Raw genomic sequence first — 14,201 nt, 5'->3', positions numbered from 1 at the left:
CTCACTGTAAAGCATTTTCTAAATCTGAAGCCCTGAATAAACTTCTACTAGATCATAAGGTCCTTGAAAGCAAAGAGGTTCATTTTTTCGAACCTCTATTTGTTCTACCATAGGGGGCACATGGGTGCCAATAAGCATTTGCTCAATTAAATTATAGAGATCTAATGTGCAACGTAGACTGTAGTTAATATTGTATTGCATATAGGAAATTTACTATGAGTAGAGTTCAGGTGCTCCCACCACTCAAAAAAGTTAACTATATGTATATGAAACATGTTGTATACCTTAAATATATACAATAAAAAAAATTATTCACAGACACACAGAATTGCCTGCACTTAACAGTTTAACATATGTCTTAATGTATTTGTATAATAATGGTATCTCCATTTGGATAGTAATTCATGGCAGCATATAATTTTAAGTAAGGTTTTACTTAAGTAATAGTAATAGATAATATTTATTGAACATTTACTATGTACCAGACACTATGCAAAGAGCTTTATATGAGACCTGCTGTACCCTACTACTAGAATAGTTTAATCTTAATAACATTCCTATGAGATCAGTACCACTAATGTCCTCAAGGGCACTGAAGCTCAGAGAGGTTCAGCAACTTGCCCAGGATCACATACATAGTAGATGGAAGAGCTGATATTTGAATCCAGGATTCTGGCTTCGAGTCTGTTCTGTAACCACTGTGCTAAACTGTCTGTTTAGTGAAATGGAAAATGGGATATGGAGATGGAAGAGAACAAAAAAGGATTTGCTTTCCTGCTGTTGCCAATCATGTGTTATGCCTTGGCCATATTGAGAATTTAGCTTGGAAGCATCTTCCTTGTCATCTTTCTGTAGACTCTAGTTAAGTCTAAATTCTGATAATATAGATTTGTTTCCATCATTGACCCTCTCTTTTGACATTTTTCTTTTCCAGAAACCACCTTGCGTGGGTTCAAGAAGAGTGGAACTCCAGGAAAAACTGGTGGCCAGGCTTTCATTTCAGCTACTTTTGGGCAAAAAGTGATTGGAAGGAAGATACAGCTTTGGCCTGTGAGAAAGCTTTTGTGGCTGGTTTACTGTTAGGAAAAGGTACAGTTTTTATTTTCGTTTTATCTAGACACAGCTTTGGCTGATTTTGAAATTATGAAGTATGGCCTTCATTTAGAGCTTACCTAACATGGTACCTAAAAATATTAGGTGCTTAAGACATAACTGCTCAATGGAAGAGTGAATCCTGAGTTGGGACTATGTGCTTAGATTAGAAGCAGTGATTTCATATTGATTGTGAACGGTTTTCATCTCCTGACTTGAGTGTTGTTAGGGGGCCATTAAGATACATGATACAGAGTTTTCACAATAATTGACCATTTGGCCTTGTTTTATAGAAAGTTTACTGAGATTTTCAAGTGTCAAAATATTCTTTATTGACCTCACTGTTCTTTAATAGCTTCATATTATACTAATATTTACTTACCTGTTTCTGTAAGCGTGAAACATTTCCTCCACTTAAGAGAAAGAATACCTCCTACTAGCATATGAAAAAAATTCTCTTCAAAGAAAAGGGATATTGATTTTTTCTTCAAAGAAAAGAAATATTTTGGGTGGTAAAATTCTTACCTGCTTTCTGCCACTGAAATTATTAAAAGGTGGCCAGTACCGAAATGAAACTACCACAGAGTATGTCCAGAAATGAAGAAAATAAATCTTACAGTGACCACTAGTAAGCAGTCCATTGCTAGGGAGCTTAAGGTGTCCTGAAGAGATTCTCCAATTCACTTTTGAATATGGTTTCTATTATTTTGGAATTAGTAGTCTCAGTGAATGTAATACAATGTTGATTAAGAAGAAAATAAAAATCAATACACTGATGACAAGGAACAGAAAGGTGATTTGGATTGTCATTTTTCTACTTTATGAGTAGAGCGGCATCTAGCACAATTATCAAGAGGTCTCTTTGAGCAGAGTAGGAAGATCTGGGTTAATTTTCCAATTCACTCCCTTGCTATCTAACTTAGGTCAAGCAATTAACTTTTAGGAGCCTTTTCTATGAAGTGGGCATTGTAACACCCATCTTATTGTTGTAAGTATCATGTGAACATCGCATCAAAGTGCTTTGTAATTTCTAAAGTGCTCTACAAATATCAGGCATCAGTTACTCCCGCAAGAGCCACATCTCCTCTCAGGCTGTTAGTGTGGGGTTGAGTCAGTCTATTCATTAGTTAAGCTGGGTTTTCTTCTTGCTCTGGTTACCAACCTTACTTTATAGGATTCAAATTCTGGGTGTGGTCTGCCTTTGCTTTGTGCTTTGAGTGGGGTATGGTGGCTCTCTTTCTTTCCATGCTGCACTAAAAGCAAGCCAGGCCCATTTCTCCTTGGAGGGGTCTTTCCTTGTTGGGATTGAAGCTACTTGGTTGCCCTGTGACTTCAGCTCTCATGGACTTGAGAGTTAGTTTATTAAGCTTTTTCTCTATGTTAGGGTGGGAACGAAATTCTTTCCAGCTTTCTATATAGGTACAGGCAAAAATCTGTGTGCAAAGTATTTTGTTTTTTACTAAGGTAGTATGATATGTTTAGAAATACAAATTATTTTAGTAACACTACAGACACCACTGCTTCCCAGCTAGTAAAACGTTACTAGCTGGGTGCGGTGGCATGCAGTGTGCCTGTAATCCTAGCTACTTGGGAGGCTGAGGTGGGAGGATTACTTGAGCCCAGGAGTTTGAAACCACTTTGTGTCCCATAGTGAGACCCCATCTCAGGAAAAACAACAAAACAAAGATGTTAGCAATTCTGGCATACTAGTTTCAGGAATAATAAAAATGGTTACTATAGGTACAGTATATGTCCTTGCATTTTCTCAGAGAAGATGGATGCATACAAGCTGAAACTGTAATGAAATTAATTTTTCATATGTGAATTATGGTCTTATTCATTTACCAACTCTAAAAAACCTCAATATCCAGTTTACATTTTTCTTACAGAAATATGATTCATTTGTCTGAAATATTTGACAAATGCTTGACAGTCCTTTGTGTGTTGTAAGACTTATGAACAGCAGGTGGAACTTCTAATGAGCATGAGGCACCTCTGTGAGAGCTACATGGTCTCCACCTTGCTGCTCTCTACATGGCTAGAATGAATAGATAATGTTTGACCGTTTCTAACCTATGATTTGTTTATTCTAATCCTTCACATCCTAAGATTTTCTACAGAGAACTTTCTTACTGTTATGAACGTAACTTTGGCTGATTTACAAGCTAACATTGAGAAGGAAGCTATACGAATGTGCTTTTGGAGAAGGCTCATTTAATATGTGACTGTATATAATATGCCTGTCACCATCACTAGGGTGTAGGAGGAAGAGTAGAAAACAAGCTAAAGTCTATGCTTTAATTATGGTGGATTAGAAACATCTTTATATATAGGAAGAAATATGTTTCGTTGGGCACAGCTGAGAATATACTTATGCCATATTGGTAATACAAATAAATTTTGTATATAGGAACAAATGTATTTCATTGGGCACAGCTGAGAATATGCTTAGGACATATTGATAATACAAATAAATCTATTTTCATAATCATTAGTGTGCTAAACTTAAAGCAGAATTTTTAAAATGTAGAAATATACTTGAAAAATGTGATGAGTATTAAAACTTTTTATTTTGCTTAACTTTTTAGGTTGTAGATATTTCCGGTATATTTTAAAGCAAGATCACCAAATCTTAGGGAAGAAAATTAAGCGGATGAAGAGATCTGTGAAAAAATACAGTATTGTAAATCCAAGACTCTGATACTGAATTTTAGTTATTTCACAGTTGTAGCTACACAGTAAGTAGCTTGGTAGATAGTTATTGAATGTATTTATGTAGTGTATTAAGAAGCTTATATTACTACAAAAAACTTATTTTTATATATTTTTATATTTTTGTATTATTTATAGCTAGAGAAACAATATTACTGCCTTTGCTCTTTGTAACTATGTCTGTTTTCTTTTTTGTAATGTTAAATGTTACATTTGTTAAGGAATAATTCTTCAAATGACAAACTAATTACAGAATATAGCTCTACAGCAGTTATTGTTTGCAAATACTTTGCCTCTTGCTATTGTGTAATAAACTGTAACTTGTAGTGCTGTGAAATGTATTTATATTCTACTTTTATATTCTAATTAATCCATTTTAGGTATACCACCATGAAGAAATATATTGGTGATGAGTTCTATTGAGGAATTTTGAAAAGAGAGAAGGATTTAGAAAAAAGACTCTTTCTCGGCCGGGCGCAGTGGCTCACACTTCTAATCCCAGCACTTGGGAGGCCGAGGTGGGTGGATCATGAGGTCAGGAGTTCAAGACCAGCCTGGCCAACACAGTGAAACCCTGTCTCTACTAAAAATACAAAAAGTAGCTGGGCGCAGTGGCGGGCATTTGTAATCCCAGATACTCGGGAGGCTGAAGCAGGAGAATTGCTTGAACCCGGGAGGTGGAGGTTGCAGTGAGCCGAGATTGCACCACCGTACTCCTGCCTGGGCGACAGAACTAGACTCTGTCTCAAAAAAAAAAAAAAAAAAAAACAAAAAGACTCTTTCAGTATAAAGACATGACAGTTTGGGGCAAAATAACCTCCTGCTAGAGAGAGACCTTTGACTCTAGAGGACTAATTTGGGTCATAGCAGTAGAGTGGGCTGGCTGTTTTCAGCTGGCACTGGCCTAACTTTAAAGGGCTCGGCTTTTTTGGTGCCTGGCACAGCAGTCTAAGATCATGAGGTCAAGAGATTGAGACCATCCTGGCCAACATGGTGAAACCCTGTCTCTACTAAAAATACCAAAAAAAAAATTAGCCGGGCTTGGTGGTGCGCGCTTGTAGTCCTAGCTATTTGGGAGGCTGAAGCAGGAGAATCGCTTGAAACTGGGAAGCGGAGGCTGCAGTGAGCTGAGATCATGTCACTGCACTCCAGCCTGGTGACAGAGCGAGACTCTGTCTTGGAGAAAAAGAACTCACGCATCCCCTCTCCTTTTTCTCTTGGAAATGAGGATGCAGCGGTATTTGACTGGACACTGGAGGAAACTCACCGGTGGGATAGTGTCCCTGAGTCACACAGTAAACCCATGGGGAAAACCTGGCCAGAAGCCAACAGCAACTTTCCTGGAACATGAGCTGAGCTTTATAATATGTTGGAATAATTGGTAGAATAAGTGCTTCTTCAGAAATGTCTTGGCTTTTACATTTACTGCTGGAATAACTAGTAATTGAGTTCCATGAAGACTCACTAACTTCAGAGCAAGTCTAATATTTAGATGGCGAGACACACATTTCCCTTTGGCTTATAGTCCTACTAATTCTAAACCATCTGCAAGAAGGTTAGGGGGCAAATTGTGCTTTGTCAATAGTTTATATTTCAATATTACTTAGTAAGAAAGGTCTATCAATAAAGAAGCACTTAGAAAGTACATGTAAAATGAGTAGGTGTTCCACAGAGCCAAAATAAACCAAGTTAAAGCTTCCACATAAATAGGGAGTCCATAATTCGGTTGTGTAGGAGTTCTGTATAAGACCAATACTCTAGCAATGAAATTCCCAGACGATGTGGAAAAAATCTGAAAGCATAGGCCAAGATCTACTTCCTGAAACTTTTAGTCAAAAGCTATAAAACAGGACTATGATTTCTCTTGATCTCTAAGAAAATGGAGGTGAGAATAAAAGAAATGAGTAGTTTTGATTCTTGGTTTCCATACAAAGCTGTCTCAACATTTTTACATCAAATGTTCTTATCAAATGTTCAGTAAGAGTAGTGCAAGTCACCTGTGAAACTTTTTTTAGGTCCACTGATGTTTAAGCTGCTTCCATGAATAACAGTAATAGCTAAAATTGGGCTTTACCTTTCATTGTAAAACCACCACAGTCCTATGAATTATTCCTATTTTACCAATAAAGAAAATGAGGTCATTGGAGATGAAGTAACTTGCCAAGGTCACAGCTCATAGGTGTTGGCACCAGGATCCCAACCCAATCAATGTGGTTCCAAAGATCACACTCTCATGTAGTATCTGTATGGCCTCCCAGTGCAGTCAGTGTTGACTACATGCAGAGAGCTGAGCCAGGTGGTGGAGTGAGACAAAGCAGCAAAAAGAACCCAGGTCTGCTCATTTCTGCCTGCCAGCATCATTTCACAAAGCCCCTGACCCTGTGACGACATGCAACTCTCTGGAAAGATGCCTTGAAGACAAAACAGGGCACAGGGCACCCCCACATCGCTTGCCTGAGTCACTACATTCCTTAAATGACCCCAGTCCTTGCCTTTTCTTACACATGAGATGTCTGATGGGATTAGTGATTATGCTTCTGTAATCCATAACCAGATGTACTCTTACACCTAAACCTTGATGAGATTCTGCTTGAATGTAACTTTTGAGCAAGTTTGATGTGATTTTGCACTGTACTGAACCCTACCACCTGTATATAAGCAGTGAGCTGAAATACTGTGCTGGAACAGTCTGACAGGACTGCTTGCTTATATGGTTACTACTTATAACCATTCGTCACGACTATTTTAAGACACGTTAGCAATAACTAAAGATAATTTAAAGTCTTGTTTTCTCCTTGAAACCTCTGAATGTATATATTTAGGATGTACAACCTGATGTTTTGATATACATTCTGAAATTATCACTATAATCAAGCTAATTAATATCTTCATTACCTCTACATAATTACCATTATGTATGTATTGTGTATGTATGTGTGATGAGAAGATATAAGATCTTTCTTAACAAATTACAAGTATGTAATACAGTACTGAACTGTCATCACCATGCTGGACATTGGATATCCAGAAATCGTTCATCTTGTATCACTGAAACTTTGTACCATTTGACCAATATCACTCCATTTCCCCCTTCCCTCAGCCCCTGGCAACCATCTTACCCTCTGCTTCTATGAATTGGACTCAGATTTCACATACAAGTGAGATGATCGTGCAGTATTTCTCTTTCTGTGTCTTGCCTATTTTAATTTTGCTCAGCATAATGTCCTCCATGTTCTGAATGGCAGGATTTCTTCCTTTTATAAGGCTGAGCAGTATGTAATTGTAATTTTATAAACCCTATCTTTATTCATCAAAGGACGTTGAGTAATGCTGCAATGAACATAGGAGTGCAGATATCTCTTTGCAACCTTGATTTCAATTCTTTTGGGTATATACCCAGATATTTCTATTTTCAATTTTTTGGGGGAACCTCCATATTGTTTTCCATAATTTACATCCCCAACAGCAGCATACAAGCGCTTCCTCTTCTCTTCATCCTCCCTAGCACTTATCTTTGACCTTTGATACGATTCATTCTACCAGGTGTGAGGCTGTATCTCCTGGTTTGATTAGCATTTCCGTCGTGACTGGAGATGTTGAGCACTTATTCATATACCTGTTAGCAATTTGAATTTCTTTTGAGAAGTGTCTATGTAGGTCCTTTGCCCATTTTAAAGTGGAATTATATTTTTGTTATTGAGTTGTATGAGTTCTTTCTATATTTTGGATTATTAGTCCCTAGCTGATTAATTATATGGAATGTGAATTACATCTCTGTAAAGCTGTCAACACCCCATTCCCTTCCCACCTCCCCTCATAAAAAGAAATAAAAGAATGTTCTATGGAGTCAGAAAGGTCTGGGTTCAAATTCCAGCATGACTGAAGCCCCCCACCTAGCCTGGGCCTCACCTTTATTCTGTAAAATGGGATGGTCTGGAAAGGTTGATGTAAAGTGCTGAGCATGGGTCCTGGTAAATGTTTTTTCTCAATAAATAGAAACATTGTTTTATGTTAACATTTTTGAAAAAGGAAAAGCAACAAAAATTAAAAAAACAGATAGGTGTGCCCTTTTGGACCCAGTTATTTACCTATATTTACAGCACAAGGGCTTTTTCTGCTGGATTGAATTAGAATCTTTGTATTTTAAATATTCCAAAAGGAAACAAGCAAGACCTTTGATGGATGGTCTACAAATAATATGACTAACATCTGAATAAGTCAATCCAAGATTCATGCTTCTAAACCAATCTGCCACCAGGTAAGAGTCGACTCAGTCCCATAAAAAATACGAAGCTGACTTCTATGTTGTTTTCATAGTTATGAAGGTAGCCTTTAGCTCAGTGAGTAGAGGCGGCTCTTTGTTTCCGCCCGTCAGTCCCATAGTGATACCACTGCCAGTTGTTTAATTACAACTCCCCTCCTGCCTATACCAAGAACTCCCAGATAATCTTATCAATGGAACTGAATCTTCAGTCAATACACTCTTCAGTAGGCTGCATCAGACAAATTTTTCCAAATGAAGAACAAATAAAAGTGATAACTACTTTCGTTCTTTTTGGGTACATCCTGATGGAATGAAAAAGATCTGGGCTGTAATTCAGAACACCTGAATTGTGTTGCCATCTCTATTCATCTAAAGTGGGGCCCTAAAATATTTCACTGAACCCCTCTTGGACTTCATTCATTCATATGCTCACTGGTAATATATCTACCTTGCTGACTTAATTGTCTTGAGAGAACTGAAGATCAAATGAAATGCAGTGTGGGGAAATACTTTGTAAACTGTAATGCTTCGTACAAGTGAGTTGTTATACTTTCTCTAATCTGAGGTACAACCTGTTCATCTTTAGACTGTGACAGAGGGAGTCTGAAGGCAGATAGATAGTTACATCAGTAAACTATATGAGAAGCTACTGAGCTAGAACATTTCTTTTTATATTTTTTCTGTTGTGTTCCATGACCTGATTTAGGATAAACACCTGACTCTCAACATCACTTTTTAAAAGGCACTTGCACTGGACATGGTGGCTCATGCCTATAATCCCGGCACTTTAGGAGGCCGAGGGGGATAGATCACTTGAGCCCAGGAGTTCAAGACCAGCCTGGGCAACATGGTGAAACCACCGTCTCTACAAAGAAAAAAAAAAGTAAAAATTAACTGAGCGTGGTAGCACACACCTGCAGTTCCAGCTACTGGCACTCCAGCCTGGGTGACACTGAGACCCTGTCTTGTGCGGGGCGGCGGGGGGGATGTTAAAAGGCACATGCTATATGAAACTGTGTGCGTGTGTGTGAATGTGTGTGTTACTGCTGTGGGCTGAATTGTGTCCCCTAAAAAAGAATGGTTGAAGTCCTACCCCCCAGTACCTCAGAATGTGACCTTATTTGGGGATAGTTTTTACAGAGACAATCATGTTAAAATGAAGTCATTATGGTGGGCACTAATCCAGTATGACTGGTGTCCTTATAAAAGGGGAAATTTGGACACAAACGCACACAGGGAGAAGGAGCACCATGTGAACATGAAGACAGAGCTTGGGGTGATGCATCCACAATCGGAATGCAAGATTGCTGGCAGACCCCACGAAGCTAGGGATCAGGCATGGAGCAGTGTCCCTTGCGGCCTTCAGAAGGAACCAACCCTGCCAACATCTTAATCTCAGACTTCTGGGCTCCCGAGCTGTGAGACAATACATTTCTGTTGTTTAAGCCACCAAGTTTGTGGCTGTGTTAACAGCAGCCCAAGCTAATTTTTTAAAGGATTATGTTTGCTTCAAAAGTGGAAACTGAAGTGATTTCAGATACTCTGTCTGGTCCTAGCTTATAGTTTCAGAGTTATTTTATAAGCTCACCTAATGTTCAGTGAAAATGTCTTTTCTGTTCTTTTCCATCTATAACTTATCTAAAAGCTCCAGTCAACTTTCATTATGATATTCTTAATCCCCTGCAGCCGAATGTCATCTCTCCGTCCTTGGGATCCCTAATGGCAGTTTGTTCCTCCCTTACTGTTACCTTAATCTTATATCTGCCAGTATTATTTGGATACTTTCATCCTTTTTTCTCAGAGCATAAACTCCTTGAAAAAGTTTGTTTTATATGTCAGTTTTCTGTTAAACATTTCTATTCCAGCATAATACTTCACACAAAATAGTATGTATTTACTGAATTGACACCAAGACATCTTTTGTAAAATTATTGCATGATTATTATATAATTACATATATATGTATATAGACAGAGCCTCGCTCTGTCACCCAGGCTGGAGTGCAATGGCGCAATCTCTGCTCACTGCAACCTCCGCCTCCTGAGTTCAAGTGATTCTCCTGCCTAAGCCTCCTGAGTGGCTGGGATTACAGGCACATGCCACCACGCCCAGCTAATTTTTTTTTTTTTTTTTTTTTTTTTTTTTTTTTTTTTTTTTTTTTTAGTAGGGACAGGGTTTCACCTTGTTGGTCAGACTGGTCTCGAACTCCTGAACTTGTGATTTGCCCACCTCGGCCTCCCAAAGTGCTGGGATTACAGGCATGAGCCACCATGCCTGGCCATAATTACATACACGATTATATCTAAAACGTAGTATCGTCTGAAATGTTACATATTTTAGTAATCAGAAACTCATGCTGTCACTGTCTGATCAGATTCTGCCCGCCCATCTTTCCCTGCTAATCTTGCAGTGACTCTGCTCAAAACAATAAGATCTCCATATTGTTCACGACAAAGGGGAAATCGATACATAAATGTCATGAGAAGATCAGAAAATACTCTCAGGTCCTACCTGGATGAGATAATGCACTCATTCTTCCATATCCCAGGGTTTGATGGTTCTGAGAAGGCAGTGGGGGTGAATTCACTGGCTGAAATTAGTCCATGTTACTCCTCCTGCTTAAGGCTTCCAGAAGCATGACATTCTGTGACATTTGAGCAAATAACCCAGAAGAAATAGCACAGTCAACAGTGAATCATGGATGACATTTATTTTATTTTAATTTTAATTTATTTTGAGACAGGGTCTCACTCTGTCACCCAGGCTGAAGTGCAGTGGTGCAATCATGTCTCATTGCAGCCTTGAACTTCTGGGCTCAAGCAATCCTCCTACCTCAGCCTCCTGAGTAGCTGGGACCACAGCCATGCGCCATCACATCTGGCTAATTTTTTATTTTTATTTTTTTTTCTAGAGACAGAGTCTCACTATGTCGCCCAGTCTGTTCAAACTTCTGGGCTCAAGCCATCCACCCACCTCAGCTTCCCAAAGTGTTGGGATTATAGGTGTGACCCATGTTTTAAAAAGCACCACTCAACTAGGTATATTATATATATATATATTTTTTAAACAGAGTCCCACTCTGTCACTCAGGTTGGAGTGCAGTGGTGTGATCTCGGCTCACTGCAGCCTCCACCTCCTGAGTTCAAGTGATTCTCCTGCCTCGGCCTCCTGAGTAGCTGGGATTACAGGCGTGTGCCACCACACCCAGCTAATTTTTTTATATTTTTAGTAGAGACAGGGTTTCGCTATGTTGGCCAGGCTGGTCTCAAACTCCTGGCCTCAAGTGATCCACCCGCCTCAGCCTCCCAAAGTGTTGGGATTACAGGCATGAGCCACTGCACCCGGCCAACTAGGTGTAGTACTGAACAGTACAAATAGGAAAGCAGGACTATTCTGATGATCATTCTGACTACTCCCTCCTATCTATCTATCTATCTATCTATCTATCTATCTATCTATCTATGCATCTATCTTTCTGCCTACCTACCTATCTACAGGATCTTCCTGTGTCACCCAGGCTGGAGTGCAGCGGTGTGATCACAGATCACCACAGCCTCGAACTCCTATGCTCAAGCAATTCTCCCACCTTAGCCTCCCAAGTAACTAGGACTACAGATACACGCCACCACACCCAGCTAATTTAAAAAATTTTTATAGCAACAGGGTCTCACTATGTTGCCCAGTCTGGTCTTAAACTTTTGGGCTCAAATGATCCTCCTGCCTTGGCCTCCCAAAGTCCTGGGATTATAGGCATTAACCACACCTGGCCAATTTTGTTTGTATTTTAAATGCTATTTGGGGCTTTCATAATCCAGAACATTGTGAGTATAGACTTGGCTAGACTGAGGTTCACTGTCCCTTCTTGATGATACCCTGGCAAATACTGTTTCTGGCGATGAGTTGGGCAGCCAGGTAGGGCACCCTCTGAAGCAGCACATCTGGAACAAGAAGAAACTTGGACTTCATCTGCGTTTCAAACAGAAGCTTTTGCCAGTAAGGAAATTCAAGGTGGACCAGAACCATGGAAAATGCTGAAAGGAGAGTTAGCTCAAGTGCCAAATGTCCCCATTGGCCTACACCTTGGCTCATGCTTGTTTGGGTTTGGGGCTGTGTGAGTTTGGGACTCCTGTTCTGCATTTATTCATTCAAGAAATATTTATCAAAGCCTGTTATGTGCAAGGGATGTGGACAAAGGAAAACACGTTTTTATTTTATTTTATATTTATTTTATTATTATTACTTTTTGAGATGGAGTTTCACTCTTGTTGCCCAGGCTGGAGTGCAATGGCACAGTCTCAGCTCACTGCAACCTCTGCCTTCTGGGTTCAAGCGATTCTCCTGCCTCAGCCTCCCAAGTAGCTGGGATTACAGGCGCCCGCCACCACACCCAGCTAATTTTTTTTTTTTTTGAGATGGAGTCTTGCTCTGTCACCCAGGCTGGAATGCAGTGGCATGATCTCGGCTCACTGCAACCTTCGCCTGCTGGGTTCAAGCAATTATCCTGCCTCAGCCTCCTGAGTAGCTGGGACTACAGGCATGCGCCACCATGCCCAGCTAATTTTTTGTATTTTTAGTAGAAACGGGGTTTCGCCATGCTGGCCAGGCTGGTCTTGAACTCCTGACCTTGTGATCCGCCCGCCTTGGCCTCCCAAAGTGCTGGGATTACAGGTGTGAGCTACCACACCTGGCCGCTAATTCTTGTATTTTTAGGAAAGATGGAATTTCACCATGTTGGCCAGGCTGGTCTTGAACTCCGGACCTCAGGTGATTCACCCGCCTCGGCCTCCCAAAGTGCTGGGATTTCAGGCATGAGCCACTGTGCCCGGCCACAAAACACATTTTTAAAATACTAATGTGGGAACATATACTAAGTGAGGAGGAGTGTCCCTACAGCAGGTATAGATTTGGCAAAGGAAGGCACCCAGTTGTCCTGTGCTTCCTGAGGAAATTGTCCCAAACAGTCCTTGTTGATTCCTTGTTTTCACTGGACCACCTCCCTCTTCTATGGTCTGAATGTGTCCCTCCCTACCTCAGATTCATAGATTGGAATGTAATCGCCAATGTGATAGTATTAAGAAGTGGAGCCTTTGGGAGGTGATTAGGTCATGAAGGCAGAGGCCTCATGGATAGGATTAGGGTCTTTATAAAAGGTCTTGAAGGAGTGGATTTGAACCATCCTGTCCCACCATGGGAGCAACAAGTCACCATCAATGAGGAACAGAGCCCTCGTCGGACACTGAACCTGTTGGCATCTCTTATTTTTTTTTATTTTTAGAGATGGTCTTGCTCTGTTGCCCAGGCTGGAGTGCAGTGGCGTGATCATAGCTGACTGCAGCCTCAAACTCCTGGGCTCAAGCAATCCTCCTGACTCAGCTTCCCAAGTAGCTGGAACTACAGGTGTGCACCACCATGGCTGGTTAATTTTCTTTTTATATTTGTAGAGACGGGGTCTCACAGCATTGCCCAGTTTGGTCTCAACCTCCTGGGCTCAAGTAATCCTCCTGCCTCAGGCTCCCGCAGTGCTGGGATTACATGCATGAACCACCATGCCCAGCCCCTACTGCCATCTTGATCTTGGACTTCCCAGCCTCCAGAACTGTGACCAATACATTTCTATTATTTATAATTACAGTCTGTGGTGTTTTGTTACAGCAGCATGGACTAAGATTCCCCTTCTTTTCCTTCACTGTGTCCTCCTTCCTCTCCTTGGTCCTTACTGTGGATGCAAGATTCATGAAATGCCCTCTCTTCCTACCCTTCCAAATATACACCTTGCCAGATCCCAGGAGCTATACAGCACACCCTGCCTCCTGCCATGGCCCCTCCATATCTCCCACCGCCTTGGGGCCCTTCAGCACTGTAGAAACGCTTGAAGCTTTCCTTCTACAGAGTGTGAAGTCTGGGATGATGTAATATATGGTGCTCTCATGGTGACTCTGGGCCTCTCAGCCTGTGAAGAAACATAAAAAAGTGTGAATTTCCGGGCATCCCCACAGACAGCAGGAATTCTTTGCAGTTTTAAGGAATCGAGCACCTCTGCCATTGACACCACTACACTTTTGGCTAAGCAAAGGTGTGCCCCCATAACACTAGCAGCACTAGAGTGGGGCTTCATGTTTAGATGGGTTGGGGG

The 14,201-nt window shown here is 40.6% G+C and overlaps 1 protein-coding gene across 8 annotated transcripts in view; it reads left to right on the top strand.

Annotated features, from left to right (window-relative positions):
* TAF1A (TATA-box binding protein associated factor, RNA polymerase I subunit A) overlaps positions 1 to 8,348 on the top strand; it is a 35,829-nt gene extending 27,481 nt beyond the window's left edge. For 4 of the 8 annotated variants that reach the window (XM_006711612.2, NM_005681.4, XM_047433596.1 and 1 more), the window contains 2 exons: positions 935 to 1,089; positions 3,681 to 4,141. In XM_006711612.2, the coding sequence (XP_006711675.1) occupies positions 935 to 1,089; positions 3,681 to 3,793 (268 nt within the window). In that variant the 3' untranslated portion in view covers positions 3,794 to 4,141. Of the gene's footprint in view, positions 1 to 934; positions 1,090 to 3,680; positions 4,142 to 4,184; positions 4,552 to 7,963 lie in introns of those variants that run through there. The other 4 variants (XR_007064852.1, XR_007064851.1, NM_139352.2 and 1 more) reach the window with 2 other exon arrangements.
* The last annotated feature ends 5,853 nt before the right edge of the window (positions 8,349 to 14,201 follow it).

The sequence above is a fragment of the Homo sapiens genome, chromosome 1, assembly GCF_000001405.40.
Source record: "Homo sapiens chromosome 1, GRCh38.p14 Primary Assembly".
Lineage (NCBI taxonomy): Eukaryota > Metazoa > Chordata > Mammalia > Primates > Hominidae > Homo > Homo sapiens.
Note: the sequence above shows the minus strand (reverse complement) of the source record. Positions and strands in the feature narration are given on the sequence as shown.